At 35.0% G+C, this 20,013-nt stretch overlaps 1 annotated feature.

The window, feature by feature from the left end:
* Positions 18,969-19,860: an enhancer, noted in NCBI's record as "OCT4-NANOG hESC enhancer chr7:12368624-12369515 (GRCh37/hg19 assembly coordinates)". NCBI's record gives its function as "activates a minimal SCP1, AML or CMV promoter by ChIP-STARR-seq in naive H9 embryonic stem cells {active_cell/tissue: H9 hESC(naive)}" and the evidence as "EXISTENCE:reporter gene assay evidence [ECO:0000049][PMID:30033119]".

Below are 20,013 nucleotides of genomic sequence, written 5' to 3' on the forward strand. Positions count from 1 at the left end.
GTCTCAAGTATGCATTGGCTTGGCTTTCTAGCCTCAAGAGGTCTTTAAAAGTCCAGCCTGATATTGCTTATCAAAAGTTTAGCAAAGCAAACTTGGAAAAAATAAAAGGGCTATGTTTTCAATTGCTATTCTTGGTGCACTTAAATAGGCCAATTTTCATGAGACTAGACTTATTTTGCAAACAAAATTAGTCTTACTCGGATTATCTTTGGTGTAAGTGGGGGCGTCGCTGTTAAGAGAAAAATTATATTGATGAAGAAAGACTATAGTGAACCTGTTATTAGATTGCAGCCGTGCTTATTGTTTGAGTTTTTTTTATCTACCTGTAGACTAGAGTGGATCCTGAATTCTGTTTTCCTCCAATATCTAGCTACATCCAATATCTGACTATATTTCCTCCAATATCTGGTTACAACCCTACAAGAACTGCTCTGTTCCTGAAGCCCTATAAATTGAGTTTGGACAACTTGATGTAAATTTCAAGGACAGATCTCATGTTTGATGTGTGAGCTACACAGATAATTTAACAATAACCAGAGACATTCAACCTGTAAACCAGGATGAGAAGTTGATGACTTCATGTTGTGGACAGCTTTTCCCAAGACATGTTGAGACCAAAACCCAAAATTATGGTGACTGAGAGCAGCATTGATGACCTAAGTTTCATCACACTCTCAGTGAGAGTGTGACAAAAAGGGAGGAAGTTTTAAGTGAAATCTATGGAAGGTAGATTGGGTGCAGTGGCTCACACCTATAATCCCAGCAGAGAATCGCTTGAGCCCAGGAGTTCAAGACCAGCCTAGGCAACATAGGGAGGCCTCGTCTTTACAAAAAATAATTAGCCAGGCATTGTGTCTTTTATCTGTGGTCCCACCTTATCAGGAGACTGAGGCAAAAGGATTGCTTAAGCCCAGGAGTTTGAGGCTGCAATGAGCCATGATCACACCACTGCATTTTAGTCTGGGCAACAGAAGGAGATCCTGTCTCTAAAAAAGTAAATACATAAAATAAAATTATAGAAGGCCATTTGGTTTGGACTGAGCTTCTACACTAGTCCCTTACGCTGAAGTTCCACTAAGCCAAAACTAAGTTGTTTATCTGACCTTTCAAGAAGTCAGGAGAGTGAGAGATAATAGCCAAATCCACAAACAAGCCAGTTTTAGCTGTGATATAAGAAAGTCCCTCTGTTTAACCTTTATAAGGAAAATAAATTTGAAATGACCAATGACTTTTTATTCTGTTTCTGCTTTCCTCAGCCCCTTTCTGTCTATAAAGCCAACCTCTCTGCTCTTTCAACCATACTTACATACATATTAATATTATAGTAATTGCATGTAAATAAACAATTAAACTGTATGGAAAAGTAGTGTATTCATCTGTTTTCACATGTACTGCTATACCTGAGACTGGGTAATTTATTTAAAAAAGAGGTTTAATTGGCTCACAGTCCTGCAGGCTGTACAGGAAGCATAGCACCTTCTGGGAAGGCCTCAGGAAACTTTCAGTCACAGTGAAAGGCAAGGGAGAGCCACCACTTCACATGGCCGGAGCAGGAGGAAGACAGAAAGCAGGGAGGTGCTATACACGTTCAAACAACCAGATCTCTATTATAAGAACAGCACTAGGGAGATGGAGCTAAACCATTAGAAGCGGCCCCCATTGTCCAATCGCCTCCCACCAGGCCCCACTTCCAGCACTGGGGATTATATTTCAATATGAGATTTGGGTGGGGACATAGATTCAAACCATATTAAGTAGCAATGCTTTTTTGTGATTATTATCCAACTCTATGTAAGGGAAATTAATATATTCACTCAAAAATTCACTTTTTTTTCCTGTCTGTATTTTTTCCTTTTCTGAAAGCTTTTGATCACATTATGTCAATCTATACACTTTTTTCCTTTTTGTAATCAGATTCCACATCTTCAATCAACAATACCCATTCTGTTACCAGATGTGCTATGTCTAAAGAGAATTGCTCTGCCTCTCTTACTTAGAGTAGAAAAGAATTCATTTATTAATCTTTAACACTTCCGAAGCAATTTCACATAGAATACTCAGTGATGATGAGCATGGCAATATTCAGAAGAACCAAAATTTATTTATTTATTTATTTATGAATTGGTCTTGATTCTTCAGAATTCTATTTCATCTTGGTTGAGGTAAAATACCCTTTGTATCTTTCATATATCAAAGAATAAATCCCAGCTTCACAAAGAAGTAAAATGCTAACTATTAAAATGCAAGTGTTCTGCTAAGACAGGGAGAGAGAAGGGACTAAACACCCTGATGCCTTTCTCCCCCTGACCTTAGATTTGCTGCTGCTGACTCCTTTTGTACTGTCCCCATTAGGGAGTCTAGAAGAGGCACTCTATAAAGATCAATATGCAGGGCACAGCATCAGGGAGAAAGTGGGCATGTGCATTCAAATGGCTAACCACCAGTGCAGATGGGTTAAACAGCAGATTAGACACAACTTAAAAAGATAGTGTCTGAAGAAATTGTCCAGTAGCACAGAGAGAGAAGGATTTAGACAATAGGAAAGATTAGTGAATTGACATGAAGATTGGAATGAACGAATGTTTTATATTTCTAAGGAGCATTCTAGAGGACAGAATACAAATAATGGGGGTGGTGGGCAATATTAAAGGAGATTATAATAAAAGTAACAATTATTCAATAATAATGGTGAACACATACATAGTATTTACAATGTGCCATGGCACTGGACATAACTAATTTAATCTTTATAACAAACCTATGAATAGGTATGGTATGAATTCACAGATACAGGAAACACAATAATTATAGAGCATATAAATAATTGATATGCAGATGCCTTGAAGTCAAACTATAGAAAATCAAACAAAAAAAGAATGGAAAATAGCTACAACAAAAGGTGGTAACAATGATTACACTGACAACAGAAATTTTCAACTGTAGACAATGGAATAATCACTTGGATATATAGGAATAAAGAACCATTGACCTAGAATTAGGTATCCAGCAAAACTATTTTCAAATATGAAAGAATAATAGTAAGATTTTAAGATAAAACAAAGTTATGATCATCAATAAACTTTAACTAAAGGAGTTTCAAAATGGGTATACTTAAGGAGGAAGAAAAGTAATTCCGCAAAGTCAAGGGTCAGGAAAGAATGGTGAGAAAATTGGACAACAACCAGCCATCCCATTACTGGGTATATACCCAAAGGACTATAAATCATGCTGCTATAAAGACACATGCATACGTATGTTTATTGCAGCATTCATTATTCACAATAGCAAAGACTTGGAACCAACCCAAATGTCCAACAATGATAGACTGGATTAAGAAAATGTGGCACATATACACCATGGAATACTATGCAGCCATAAAAAATGATGAGTTCATGTCCTTTGTAGGGACATGGATGAAATTGGAAATCATCATTCTCAGTAAACTATCGCAAGAACAAAAAACCAAACACCGCATATTCTCACTCATAGGTGGGAATTGAACAATGAGATCACATGGACACAGGAAGGGGAATATCACACTCTGGGGACTGTTGTGGGGTGGGGGGAGGGGGGAGGGGGAAGGGATAGCATTGGGAGATATAACTAATGCTAGATGACAAGTTAGTGGGTGCAGCACACCAGCATGGCACATGCATACGTATGTAACTAACCTGCACAATGTGCACGTGTACCCTAAAAGTATAATAAAAAAAAATTAAAAAAAAAAATAGATGGTACAATTGACCCTTAAGCAAAAATAAAAAAAAAAAAAGAAAATTGGACAACACTTAACTAAATTTAAGCAAATATTGTCTGTATAAAGTAATAGCAATAGTTTCTAATTTAGGATATAAATTATAACAATAGGATGCAACTTACAAGAGAGTTGAGAGGAGTTAAACTGGTGAATCATATATTTGAAATGAAGATCAACAGTGATTTACATTTAGTTTCTTAGTTATGAGAATTTCAAGGGTAATAACCAAAAGCCAGTTAAAGAAAAAAGATGAACCAAGAATCAAACAAACGTAACATCTCTATCAATCCAAAATAAAGCAAGAAAGGAGAAAAAAATAGCAAAAGAAAAGCAACACAAAACAAAATGTTGCAAATAAGTCAAAATGTATTTTTAACCACAATAATTTAATTATTTTCAGTTGAAATATAGAATGCTCAGAATACAATAACCCAAAGTAAGGTGTGTTGGTGTGCTAAGCACATTGAACAGAAAGGCTTCAGAAGGACCTCAGAAGGAAGGTCTCTCTGACCTTCTCCCATCCTCCTATCTCCAGCCCATCTTCATTCACCTGAGCAATTCATAGAAATCAGACTTCCTTTTCTTCAAAGTGAATCATTGAAACTAGAACTCTTCTCCCCACACACAAACCATAAAACCCAGAAGGGTCATTCACACTTCTCATTTCTCCCTTGAAGATCCTCATTTCAGAGGAGTGCTGTCCAATACTCAGAAGAAATGCTACACAGAGAGCTTAAGAATCTGAACAGACAGGACTTGTTGAGTTTCCCCCTTCAGTTACCATTAGATTATACCCTTTTATATTAGATGAAACCCTTTTATCCAGTTACATTTCTACATGCCTGTTCATTTTTCATGGAACCTAAATATAAAAATAGACAGTTGTCCTTGGGTCTTTGGGTCTTCATTTCTGAAGTCTCCTGTGTCATGTAAAACTTTGATTAAATAAAGTTATTATGCTTTTCTCTTGTTAACCTGTCTGGTTATAGGAATATTGGCTGTGACTTTTATGATTGGTAAGGATAGGTATTATATCTTTCCACCCTAGTATTTACAAAGGAATTTCAGGTTGAAATTGAATTTATGTGGTACACATAAAACCTAAGATAGACAGGCTGAAAGTACAGTAGAAAAAGATTAGAAAAATATTTTATTTAAAAAACAGGGTAGCTATAGCAATATCAATCAAAATAACCTTTAAGCAAAAGTATTATTAGGAATAAAGAGGTCAGAACATTTATTGATTTAGAAACAGCTATACAATGTTAAATGCATGCCAACCATTGTTGTAGGCACACAAGCAGGCTTATAAGTATTAACTTATTTAGTTCTCATTTCAATTTTATTAGGTAGGTATTATTTCTATTTACCTTTCCATCTTTTCAAACAAGGCAATGGATGAAGGAAGCTTAAGCAATTTGCTCAGTCACACAGTCAATGAGGAGAGAAATCTGGACTCAATCCAGAAAGCAATCTGGCTCCAGGGTCCTTGAACTTAACCACTATGCAATGCTGTCTAAGAGGCTTAGCTAGCATACTATAAACTTGTATGCACCCAATTTAATGGCCTCAAGCATAGAAAGAAAAATTTGATAAAACTACAGGGAAAAGTAGACAAATATAAAATAATAAAGACATAGTTCAACATATTTTAAATTACTACAAGCTTAGGCAAGCAAAAAATTTGCAGGATAAAGAATTAAAGAAGTCCTAACCAGAGGAATCCAACAAGAGAAAGAAAGAGCATGCAAATTAGAAAGAAGTCAAATTATTTTTTGCAGATAATATGATCTTATATTTTAAACCCAAAGACTCCATTAAAAAAAATACTATTAGAACTGTTAAACAAATTCAGTAATGTTGCAGGATACAAAAATTAACATAAAAATCTGTAGTACCTCTATATGCCAACAGTGAACAATCTGAAATAGAAATTAAGAAAGTAGTCATATTTATAATGTTATAAATAAAATACCTAGAAATAAACTTAACCAAAGAAGTGAAAGCGCTCTATATTGAAAACTATAAAACACCGATGAACAAAATCAAAGAGAACACCAAAAAAGGGGAAAGATATTCCATGGATTAGAAGAATCAATACTGTTAAAATGTCCCTACTACCACAAACAAGTTATAGATTCAATGCAATCCCCATCAAAATACCAATGGCATTCTTAAAAAATAGAAAAAATAATTCTAAAATTTATATGGGACCACAATAGACCCAGAATAGTCAAAGCTATTGGCAAACAGGTGTATGAAAATGTGATCAGCATCATCGAGCATCAGAGAAATGCAAATCAAAACTACAATGAGATATCATCTCACCCCAGTTAAAACGCCTTTTATCCAAAAGACAGTCGATAATGAATGCTGATGACAAGGTGAAGAAAAAGGAACCTTTGTATACTGTTGGTAGGAATGTAAATTAATACAACCACTATTGAGAACAGTTTAAGCAGAATAACCATTCCTATGTTTATTATTGTAACACTGTTCACGATAGCCAAGATTAAGAAGCAACCTAAGTCTCCATTAACAGATGAATGAAGAAAATATGGCACATGTACACAATGGAGTACTATTCAGTCTTAACAAATGAGACCCTATCATTTGCAACAACGTGGATGGAACTGGAGGTCATTATGTTAAGTGAAATAAGCCAGGCACAGAAAGATAAACGTTGCATGTTCTCACTTATTTGTAGGAGCTAAAATTCAAAACAATTAAACTTATTGAGACAGAGAGTAGAATGATGGTTACCAGAAACTGGGGAAGGTAATGGGGGTGGGGGGTAGGCAGGGATGTTTATGAGTACAAAACTATAGTTAGATAGTATGAATAAGATCTAGTATTTGATAGCACAACAGAGTACAGTCAACAATTTATCATGCATTTAAAAATAACTAAAAGAATATAATTGGATTGTTTATAACACAAAGAAAGGATAAAAACTTGAGGTGATGGATACCCTATTTACCCTGATATGATTATTACACATTATGAAACCTGTATAAGTCTCTCATGTACCCTATAAACATATACATCTACTATGTACCCACAAAAATTAAAAGAATTAGTGACACAATTTAAAGTTCCAATATAACAGAAATTAATACATTGTGCATCCTTTAAGAGAACTATAAAAGGCAAGGATAATGTATTGGTTATGTACTGCTGATGAACAAATTACTGCAGAAGGTAGTAGCTTAGAACAACACACATTTATTATCTCACAATTCCTCTGGGTCAAGAACTCAGGATTGGTTTAACTGAGTGCCTCTGGCTCAAGATCTCTCATGAGCTTGCAGTGAGGGTGTCGGCTGTGGTCTTTTCTAAGATAAGACCTGGGTATGATCCACTAGAAAGTTACTCATGTGGTTGTTGACCCGATTTTATTCTCTCAGGGCTGTTTAGACTGAGGGCCTCATTTCTCCTGCCTGTTGGCTAGAAGGCTCCCTCAGTCCCTTGCCTTGTGGGCCTTTTATAGGACAACTTCAAACTTACATCATGGCAACTGGTTTTCCGTAGAGCAAGCAAGAGAAAGAGGGAGTGAAAGTGAGAAGGAGAGAGAGAGAGGAAGAAAGAGAGAGAGACGAAAGCTACAATTATTTTATAACCTAATATCAGCAGTGGCATTCACTACTTTTGTTTCATTGTATTTGTTAGAAGTGAATCACTTCTAACAAGTCTAGTTCACTCTGTAGGGAAGTAGATTACATAAGGGTGTCAATACTGGAAAGTGGGGGTCATTTAGGACCATCTTAGAGGTTGCCTAGCACAGGTGATTAACATAAAATACAGCAGGATTATAATAAAAGCAAAGAAGTCATCAGTACAATTGTATTGGCTTTGGCATATTTCTGAATTAGATGATTGAATTGTGGGTGTCCATTTTGTTATGCTTTATAAGTTTACAGATATAGTACTCTTTTCTTTTGTATATATAAAAATCACATAATTTTTTCAAAAAATAAGGTAGTCACCATCTTCTAAAATAAAACAAATCTCTAGCTATATGAGACTGACCTCTCGATAACTCCAGTTTTTACTGAAAATTAACCATTGCATTTCATCTGATTTGTGAGTTGTTGGGAAAGTTGCATCATTCCCTGTGCACCTCAAATTACCTATATGAACTGAACAGTGCATTTTAATTCTATCTTTAAAATAAAATGTTCATTAATTCAATTTGAACTCTCAAACTCAGTCCTTTAAAAGTTTCAGAATTTGTACATAAAAGACACTCTACAAACTTACAAGTAGGAAACATTATTTTATGGTATATTTGCTCCCACAAATTTAGGCAAATGTGAGCTTTTTGCTTGAATTATTCAAGTCTAAACTCTGCCATAAATGTAACCTGTAAATATTTAAACTAATGCAAACAAAAGAACTTGGTTTTATCATTTTGATATGTAGTATCTCTCTGCCCCACCACCCCCTTGTCTGGTGTTATCAGAAATACAGTTTGATAACATGAATCAAGCTAATAACATTAGCTTATGACTGATTACCTGTACAGTTTGGCCTGATACAAAAATTCTGCGTAATTAATTTTAATCTTACAATAACACTGGTGGGACTGTAGACCATTTCCCTTAATTTAAATACATAATTTGCAACTTGAATACATCTGCAATAATGAAATGTCAGAATCTTTTACTCTGAAAAGAGCATAACTATAAATACAACTAAAATTTTATACACATAACTTTTTTTATTAATTTTATTGCCCCTCTTGAATTAAGAAAAATAATGCAATGATTCTTTAATTTTCAACTCATATTATTCTTAAAGTCCCTAAATTGGTATTTCCAAAAAGCTGCATTAAGGCTAATTGAAGATTCTGCAAAAGATACATTATGAAACTAAGATAACTATAAAAATGTTAAGTAGTACAAATACATATAAAGTAATATATAAAATCTACTTAAATCACCCCTTACCTCCCAATCCCACTCCCCTGAGGTAACAAATCTTAATTATTTGGTATCAGTCTTTTTATACATTTTCTATAATACTAAAAACTTATGTGTATTCACATATATGTGTGGGGGCCAAAGGCTCTTGGAAGATTCTCTGAAAAATCAACTCACAAAAGGCAGATTTATAGAAGAAAAAGCATACAAATTTATTTAACATGTATACATGGGAGCTTTCAGAAGACTCAAGGATACAGAAGAAATTGTCAATGTTTATGTTTAGGTTATGGATAGCCATGTAGAAACATGATCGGACAAAAAGGGCAAGATATAATGATAATGGGCTGAGTGGGGAAACTCTGGCTGTCTAGATTCTTCTGAGCATGCATTCCCTCCTTGGTGTGAGGAAGAGCCCTCTCTAGAATGGGGGTCTCATGATCTACAGTCAAACAAGGTATGTCAGACAATTTCTTTATGGCCAGTTTTTACACAGAAAGGCAAGGGAAAAATAGAGTAATATTATTAGGTTTTATGACTAGCTTTGGAGAAAAGGGGCTCTGATTTCTGTGACCTGCCTTGGGGAAGAGAGATTCTAGTTTTTATGGCTAGCCTCCAGGGAGAACACGACTGAGAGACAGGGGAACAGGAAAAGGTCAGAAAAAAACTTTTGCTCTGAGGCTGCTGCGGAGGCCTTCATTTTAAAATACTGTTTTCTGAGCCCCATCATATGAAAACATATGCATTTTTAAATTGGAGTATACTATATTTATTGTCTGGAAATATTTCTCTCATCTTTTCATCTAACATAGTCATCTTCATACAATATAAGATATAGCTCTACATTAATGATTGTTTTATTGGCTATATAGAAATCTCATGGCTTGAAATATAATGATATAACTATTTTTCTATTAATGATCACTTAACATTTTATTATTTTATAATTGTTAATTTATCACATATAATTTATTTTTAAATTTTAATATTAAAAACCATGCTACAATAAATGTTTTTGGAGATAGAATTTTACTCTAAGCATTGTCTCTCTTAAATGGCTATTTCTAAATTTCCACTGATCGGTCTCCTTTTATAGCACTGCTCTTAAAGGGGAAATAACTCAAGTTTGGTCCTCAAAGGTTACACATCTTGATTTTAATTTGTATTTGTTAATCTAATTCAATTATTGTTCAATATTAGCTGAAGTATTCAGGCCAACTTCAACTCAAATGAGCAACTTAAAAATAAGAAAAAAGCTAAGAAGGTGGATGTTATGTGTTCTCACCATAAATACAACTATATGAAGTAATGCATTCACTAGTTAGCTAGATTTAACCATTTCACAACATATATATACTACAAATCGTGTTATACATGGCAAATACATATACTTTTATGTCAATTAAAAATAAATTTGAGAAAAAAGAAATAAAGTTGATTGTATAGTTTATCTATTTCAGAACAAAAACTGTAATATGGGAGTTTAAGCATGTTTACTTTCTCTGACAGTTTGGTAGGTATAATAAAAAATTTACCTTGTTTTTTTAAAAAATAAGTAGCAGTCATTTTAATTAATTGCAATGTGGCTTTTAAAAAGAGCTTGAGGCCTAATTAGTTAAAATCTTACATGTGTATTTTCAGCATGAGTGTTCTATTAGAAGCTAAAAACTGGTTACTCATTTATTTTTAACCATGCTCATCATTTTAGTATTCCCTGATGGTGGGGAAATCTAACATTCTTTTTCTAGCAAGTTGTCTCACTGCTGCTTACTAACAGGTACTGGCAGAGCCTGTAATCTGCCTACCCACAAAGGTTAGAAATGAATTTTGGCATTTTGGTGGACACTCAATATTTACCCACTTGGAAGACAACAATAGTGCTCAAAACAATGAGATATATAAATTTCCTTGTTCGGTTTAACGGTGGCTGGAAGATAAGTCACTCAAGCAGTGCTGACAGGTATTACTCTGTCTGAGATCTCTGTTCTCTCATTTGAGAAGAAAAAACAACAAATTCCTTGTCACCCTCTTCCTTTCTAGTGCAAATCTAAGACTGGAAGTTTTTTTGAACATATTATGCATCAGGACTTGATCATTAACTGGAAACTACCTTCTGTCCTCTCTAGTTCATTGCTCCTCTTGGTTCAGCCCTATGGATCTAGAAAAATCTCACCCTTGCTCCACACACAGAGCCAGGCAGACAGCCCAGAGACAACCCTCAAAGTGAGCAATTTAGGTTTTGTTCTGGTAGCACAAAATTCCATTTCCTCTAGTTATTTTTTCTTTTATAGAAATGAAAATAAAATAAAAGTATATTTTTCAAAATATTTGCCTGTGATTTATGTAAGTACCCACATGTTAAACCAAACTCTGTTGCTGCCTTGCAATATTTTCCTGGATTGAACCAGCCAGTATCCTTCAAGTCTTCTATGTAGGCCAATCACTATTAGAAATGAGTGGTCAGAATATATTTGTCTGTAATGTTTAATTTACTTCATCTGTAATGCTGCAGCCGGGGTATTTTATGGCATTACACTGGAAATGGCTTGACTCTTTGATATGGGGAGATAGATCTCAGGTCAAAACCCAAGGAATAATTGATTATTTTCACAAGAAGAGGGTTGAAAACTAATATCCTCCCCTCCTACAGTCCTCAGAAAATATCAGCCAGCAGTGAGAATGCATCATCAGAGAATGCTGATGTAATAGGCAGACAGATCAGGGAGATGAAGTATCACACAGTCACCATCTCCATTAACTAATGTAGGAGGAAGCATCAAAGTTGTCCACAAAAAATAATTGACAGGTCTTGGTGCCTAAAGACACATACACAAGCCGTAAGAATTTCCTTTCATTTAGTAATCAGAGCCCTCAACAAAGAAAGGAACCTCTTAGCTTGGGCAGCATTAAAACAAAACACTGAAGGAAGTACAGATGATTATCTTGAGATCTTAGACGAAACCAAACTAGACCCTAACAATATCGCTTGACCATATTATCGAGGATTATAACCAATTCCTTGGTGAGGAAGATTAAAGTTTGATAATAGAATCTACTTTATATACATTGTATCTATACCTATTTGTCTAATCTATCATCACCTGTATATCATCTATGAAATTAGAAAATAAATTGGGATAATTCTCACTATAATGTGTATGTCCAGTAAGTTTCATTATTGTTCTTAAGCTCATAGTGTCTCTAATCAAAGACTCTCTAGATACAGTCATGTCCAGATATATAGTTGGGAGAAATCCACTTACTTCAGACAAACTTATGGTTTTTGTCTGAAGAAGCATATTTAAGAAAACATTATCCCTTACAAAGACTTTATTTTCTGTCAGGGTGTGCTACATATTGACTTACTATTTCTCAGTGACAGGGGAAAAGGCATAATCTTGAAATATTTGAAAGTACTGGCTATCTTCACAGTTTTTTTCCAAGTTCAATGTATACAGGAAGTAAAAAATGTTTTCTGCCCAACCTAATATTACTCAGAGAAATTTTAATCTCAGACGGATTCAGTTAAGTCACCAAATCTTCGAAGGAAAGTAGTATCTTTTACAAGCACAATGAGAATTTTTAACTGCTCTCAGACAAGTGGCTATAATTATTGGAGATTATCAGGTATAACTAAGACTCTAGGCTCACAGGAAAAACTGATGTCATATTAATTATGAAGAATTTTATTTTTGAAAAATGTCATGTTTGCCTTAAATATTTAATATTTTCTCTTATCAAAATGTGTTACCTGGGAACTGAGGATCTAGCACCATCTGCAGGCAAAATAAGCTAATTTCATCTGGCAGTAGAAACAATTTTACAGAAGTTTAAAACAGGTTAAAATTCTTTCAACAATGATGTATAAGTCTGTCCTTACAATAAAAAAATAAATTGGAATGCCACCTGCTTTGTCCTCCGTTTCTTTTATTTTCTCAAAGCATCTGCAGTGGCCGTTGATAAGAGTACTGTAGTCTCTGAACTGGTATGCTTAAGACTACAATACTCTTGCCAGGAAGGGCCCCATTTTGATCAGCGGGGGAGGTACATCGGCTATGGCCCACAGTATTTTTAAAGGCCCACAAAAATGTTTCATGTCTTTTAAAATCAGTATTAAAAAACTTTTAGGTCAAATAAACTATTTTAATATATGATATTAACGTATTCATCTTTATATCAACCCAGTTATAAAATATACTTTTTGATATTTTTAAATGGAGAGAGGGGTCTGTGAAGACAAAAGTGCCGAGGGCCCACTAAGTTCAAAAGGGTCTTTTTTGGAGGCTGATGGCTAGAGTCCAAAGAACTACACAGGTGAATACGGAGGGGAATCAACTTAACCCTGGTTAACTACTTAGAACACAGCTTGGCACGCATTCAGCTCTCAATTTGAGTCATTATATGCCAGCTACCTTTAGCCTTCTTAGTCTGGTTCTCACTACTTGTATGCCAGAGCTTATTTAAAGTTCATGTTTGCATATTTTGTTTTTAATCTCACATCTTAATTAGTGCTTTTTAAAGTTAATCAGTGAACAAAATTACCAACATATAGTAATCATTGGAAAACTCTAAAATCCAAACAGAGAAGTCTTCCTGTCATTTCTTCAGCTGGTATGACTGATTCATCTTTAGCAACAACAAAAAATAACAAAATGCATGTGTTGGGGATTTAGATAACAACCATTGTGAAAAATTATTTGCAATTATATTAGCCCATTTTCACACCACTCTGAAGAACTACGTGAGACTGGCTAATTTATAAAGAAAGAGGTTTAACTGACTCACAGTTCCATATGGCTGAGAGGACTCGGGAAACTTAAAATCATGACGAAAGGCGGAGGAGAAGCAAGCACGTTCTTCACACAGCAGCAGGAGAGGACGGGGTGGGGGAAGTGCCACACTTTTAAACCATTCGATCTCGTGAGAACTCACTCACTATGACGAGAACATCATGGGGAAACCACCTTCATGATCCAACCACCTTCTACCAAGTCCCTCCCTCGACAAGTGGGGATTACAATTTGAGATGAAATTTGGATAGGGACACACACAGAGCCACAGCATATCAATAATAATCTCATTTTAAATTTAAAATTACACAGTACTCTTATGATGTAAATATTTTTTATCCCCATTTTACAAATGAGGGAATTCACGTATAGAAGGAGGTAAAGTTCTCTGTGCGAGTACACACAACTGTGGTGAGTTAGAGCCAGGATCTGGGATCGAATTAAAATCCAGGTGCACCTGACTCTGAAGCCTCACAGCAATGTGTCCTGCAGCTGTCCTGCCTCCAGTTCTATTTCTACATGGTGCTCTTCGCAGACACCTCTCCACATACAAATGTATATCCACAGCTAGAACAAAACAAACTGGTAATTCTCAAATTCTTCTTGAAGTGAGTTTTTTTCAAAATATTTTTGTCCAACAAATAAATTAAATACCTCATTTTAACAGGCATATTTTTATTAACCCATAATGTGGATTGAAAAGCGGAAAGAAATATCTTTAATAAATTATCAAGTGATCTTGAGCCATTAAACATTCTTGGCTTTTTCTAAAAATAGATGATAGCATGTAGTTAATAGGCCTTGGTGTCAGATATGCATTCAAATACAATCACGGCAAAGTGTAAGCAGCAGGGTATTTAGGAAACAATTGGAGTTCTCTAGGCTTTGGTGTTGTCATCTGTAAAATAGAGAGAAATCTTTTCTCTCAAAAACTTGATTGTCTGAAAGATTGTTAATTAAAATCCCTAGCATCACGCTCAATACATTTTGGTTTTCTTTCTTCTAATTATCCCCACTTAATTTATTTAATTGATAATCACATAATTGATCTACTTCCACTCAGGAAAGCACTTCTGATTTTTATGGTGTGCTATTGAATAATTATGAAAATAAAGTGGATGCTGAGTGAAGAGGTTATCATACCTAGCAGTCTTTTGACAGAAATATTTGTCCATAGTAGTTTTAGTTTACCTGCCTTCAATAAATAAAGCAAAAATTGAAAATCTTTGACAACCAAGCTCTGAGAACTTTCTGAATTTAGAACTGTTGCCTTCCCAACTCAGAACATGAATGATATGGTTTGGCTGTGTCCCTATCCAAATCTCATCTTGAATTGTAGCTCCCATAACTCCCTTGTGTTATGGGAGGGATCCAGTGGGAGATAATTGAATCATGGGGATGATTTCCCCCATACTGTTCTCATGGTAGTGAATACGTCTCAAGAGATCTGGTAGTTTTATAAGGGGAAACCCCTTTCACTTGGGTCTCATTCTCTTGTCTCCCGCCATGTGAGACACCTTTGGTCATGACTGTGACACCTCCTCAGCCACGTGGAACTGTGAGTCCATTAAACCTCTTTCTTTTGTAAATTGCCCAGTCTTAGGTACGTCTTTATCAGCAGTGTGAAAATGAACTAATATAATGAGCTTCACCATAACTTAGCAAACAGCCAATTCCATCTGCCATGATTCTGCTGGCCCTGATCTGGGCTGATTGCCTAGGGATGGTCACTGGTTCACGCCCATCCAGTGGTACCAATTTCTGTGAGATTTTTCTCAGCCAAGACTTTTGAACTAAATGTCATGTCTTCTAGTCAATGGGTGGCAGTAATTGGAACAGAAAGATCATCACATTGATCTGCTGGCTACATTGAATCCTGAGGAAAATCAATAAAGAACAGCAATGGGCAAAGAGAATTAAAGATTTACAGAGAGGCCAAGAAGAGACAATCCATGCAGGTCCAGAAAGAGAAAAGAATGAGTCTCTTGATTGCTTCCTGGCTCCCATTAAACCCAGCCTCACTTCTTGTCTTGAATGCTGTATCTTTTTAATTAACCACCATGTCTATTGAGTTGAATCAAAGGAAGAAAAAAAAAAACCTTAACTCGATGGCTCCCACCTGGAAAAGGGGAGGCAGTTTCCACTAAAGTGGGGCTGTTAGAAAAAAGATAGAAAATTAGGAAAACTGAGGGTAGTTTCCCACTCTTCATTGCCAGGGATAGGTAGCAATCCAACATATCTGTCTGCTGCAAACTTGTCCTGGCCATTACAAGCCATGACTGTTTAAAGGAAATAGAGTGTCAAGGATGCTGCCCATATTTTCAACATCATCAAAGAGTTTAAGTGTTACATGATGAGGTCCTTGTGAGGCAAACTGAAAACTGGAGGAAATAAACTTGACAAGAATTGTAAACAGGTCAGTTTGTGCAGCCTGTTTTCTGAAATTAAGGGCTGAGTTCTGTGAAAAATAGAAGTCATCTGAGAATAAGTCTTATTTCTTATTCAACATTACATATTAGTGATTTTAGCACACTTGCTTTACTGCTGTTTATAAATATCTCATCTACTTCATCAGAGAAGGAAAATGTATTAAGACTTAAGCAATTTTTTTAAGAGATGGGGTCTACGTTGCCCAGGCTAGAATGCAGTAGCGATTCATCAGTATTCACAGGTAGAATACTCACTCAATACAGACTTTCAACTCCTGGGCTCAAGTGATCCTCTTGCCTCAGCCTCCCAAGTAGCTGAGATTACAGGTACAGAAAACTGCAACCACCTGACTTATGCAATCTTTAGGAATTTTGTCAGACTTTTTTTTCTACAAACAAGAATTGAGTTGATATTTCCAGTATCTTTTGCAAATAGTGATTGAGGAAACATCAGCTGCAGATAAACATTGATTAACAAGCTCCACTTAGATTCCCTACTTTGCTTTCTGTGAACAAATAGCCATTCTTCTCTTTTAAAAATAGCAGAATCTTATAATGTTTATTATTTATTTCTTATTTACAGTTAATAACATTTTAGATACGCAGTACAGTATATCTTCTTTTAGGTTTTCTGTATTGTATTTCTCCCCCTATTTGACATGTTGTTTAATATTTAGGCCACTGCACCTCATTTTAGAAGTAACTGGCATGCATATTATAAGTCATAAACAAATTATTAAGTGGCATAAAGGCAAAATTTTATATTAATTTGATTAATATAAATATGCTTGGTTTAAACTGTAGCACGTAAGTCCATCAAAAATTACATAATTGTGATGGATTTTTTATAAAATTGAAAAAATACATACAATATGTCTATATTGTCATTATGGGTTCCAAATATCCCCAAATAGTTTTAACCTGAAATTTTAAATACTATCGTGTATTTCATTTCAATGTTAGCATGAATAAACACAAAACAGTCAAATATATTAACTAAGCAAAGTCTATAGTCTGAATTCTTTATAAGAATTCAGTGTGAATAGACACTACACTCTAGCCTGGGCAACATAGCAAGACCTTATTCCTAATAAATAAATAAAATTATAAGATAAATATTGAAAGTTACACATTTTCAAGTACTTTTGCTTAATTTTTAAACACTCATTATTTTCAAAGTATTTTCCAAATAGACTGTGAATAAAGTATGTTTAAATTAATTGATGTGAAATATCACCAAGACATAAGCCAAAAATTAAATCTCTTGCCATCAATTTATCAAATTACTTGCTTTTCTAAACTCACATTATATTCTAAACATTACTTTCATTTCCATGAGTCATTAGCTTTCATAAGGACGATTTTACATAAAATTTGTAAACCACAGCATTTCTTCATTATTAACATATACAGGTCCATTAAGTCAATTATAAATGGATAGTGTATTGATTAATATTTTAATTTTATTGAGATTCTTGATGTAGATCTAAAAAATGTTTATGAAAAATTTAATGTACACTCATGCATCACTTAATGAAGGGTATATGTTCTGAGAAATGCATCATTAGGCAATTGTGTCTTTGTACTAACCTCGTAGAATGTATTTACACAAACTTAGGTGGTATAGCCTACTACACCTGCGCTGTATGGTACAGCCTACTGCTCCTAGGCTACAAATCTTTACAACATGTTACTGTATTCGAATACTGTAGATAATTGTAGCACAATGGTAAGTATTTGTAGATCTAAACATGGAAAAGGTACAGAAAAATATGGTAATATAGTCTCAGGGGACTACCATCATATATACAGTTTGTGATTAGCTGAAACGTCATTCATTATGTCGTGCATGACTGCATTAGTTTAGGTATCTCAGAAAAAGTCTTTAAGCAATTATTACTTTTCAACCATAAAAAGTTTATATTGAAAATCAATTTAATAAGACTATTGATAAAATTGCTATGTGGTTGTGATATTTTGAAATATATATTTGGTTTTCATCCCATTCCTGATATATACTCCTAAAATCATTATAATGTCCAAAGTGATAAGAGTCTTTTTGTATGCTAATGAGTTGACCAATGGCTGGGGACTCCTGGATAGCCAGGTCATAGGAGGCCGGTCATAGGAAAGACCAAGATAGCTTTAAGCATTTCAGCCCAGCCCCTCCAACCTCCAGGGAAGGCGAGAGGCTGAAGGTTAAGTCAATCACCAATGGATAATGATTCACTCAATCATGCCTACGTAATGAAGTCACCATAAAAGCCCAAGGACAATGTTCAGATGAGCTTTCAGATAGCTGAATACACAGAGGTTCCTGGAGAGGGCATAGAACCTCTGCACCCCTTCCCACATGCTTTGCCCTACACATCTCTTCACCTGTGTCCTTTGTTACATCCTTTATAATAAAGCAGTAAACGTGTTTCACTGTGTTCTGTGAGCCGTTCTAGCAAATTAATCAAGCCTGAGAGGAGGAGATAGTGGGAACTCTAATTTATAGCTGGCCAGTCAGAAGCACAGGTAAAACAACCTCGGGCATGTGATTGGCATCTGAAGGGGTAAGTCTGAGGAATTGGGGGACAGTGACCTCAACCTGTGGCATCTGATGCTACTACAGGTAGATAGTGTCAGAACTGCATTGAATTAAGAGGACATCCAGCTGATGTTTGCTGCAGAATTGATTAGTTATTGGGGAGAACTCCCCCACAAACTTCTTGGTGACCAGATGTCACAGAAACCTTCTGTGTTGATTGTTGTGTTGTGAGAATATACTGGGAAGAAACTGAATTTGTTTTCTTCTCATACAATTGTATATTAAGCAAAGTTGTCAAACTGATATAAAAATGTATCTATTTTCATAGTATTTTAATTCCAATTACTAAGTTTAAAAAGTATTCATTTGTATCTACAATGCTATTTTCACAAAAGCTGAAGAATATTTGTACAATACTCTTATTTTCACAAAAGCTGAAGAATTTAAGTATACACTAAGTGTTAACATTTATTTTGCATTTATATTTCTGAATTTCTGGTAACATAAAACATAGTGAAGCATCTTATTGTTGATGAAAAGAGTCAAACTGTGTAAAATATTTGAAGATATTTATTCGGAGCAAAATGAGTCATCATGGCCTGTGACATGGCCCCAGGAGATGCTGAGAACACGTGCCCAAGGATGTCGGGCTACAGCTGGGTTTTATATGTTTTAGGGAGACATAATAGGTGGATTCAAGAATTTTCTGATTGGCAATTGGTTTATCTAAAGACCCAGAATCAACAGAAGGGAGTGTCTGGGTTAAAATAAGGGGTTGTGGAGACCAGGGGGTTCTTACTATGCAGATGAGGCTTCCAGGTAGGAGGCTTCAGAGAGAAGAGATTGCAAATGTTTCCTATCAGGCTTAAAAAGGTGCCAAACTCTTAGTTTATTCTCTCCTGGATCAGGAAAAAGACCTGGAAAAGGGTGGGATTCTCTACAGAATGTAGATTTTCCCCAAAAGAGACAGCTTTGCGGGGACATTTCAAAATATGTCAAAAAATATATTTTAGGGTAAAATAATTTCTTTCAGGGCCTGTTATCTGTCATGTTGCTATCTTATTGCTACAAAAAGTCTGCTTTGTTATTCTTAAGGTCTCTGTTTTGATGTTAATGCTGATGGGTTGTGCCTGAATTACAAAGGGATGAGGGTATAATGAGGCATGTCCGATCATCCATTCCCATGATGTCCTGAACCAATGTTTCAGGTTTACTTTGGAATTCAATTACTCGAGAAGAGTTCTTTCCATTGTTTGGGAGGCTTTAAATTTTATTTTTGGTTTATATTATGTTCTCCTAAGTAATCTATTAAAACTACCTTTTAGTAAATATAAAATGATAAATTAAAAACTCTTTAATTCTGACATTGGATGTTAATACTTAAAGAGTCCTTAGCATATGTAGCAATACTTTTATTCTGATTGCGTCTTACTTTATCTTACAGGTTAGATATGGCTTAGGAATGCTCAATCTTTCTACTTAAAAGAAAAAAAATGAGCCTTTGTAAATGTATATGATTTAAGATGGTCATGTTCAAATTAAAATAACTTGTTTTCTGAAAGTCAAATGAAATGTCTGAGGT

This window comes from Homo sapiens, chromosome 7 (genome assembly GCF_000001405.40).
Source record: "Homo sapiens chromosome 7, GRCh38.p14 Primary Assembly".
NCBI lineage: Eukaryota > Metazoa > Chordata > Mammalia > Primates > Hominidae > Homo > Homo sapiens.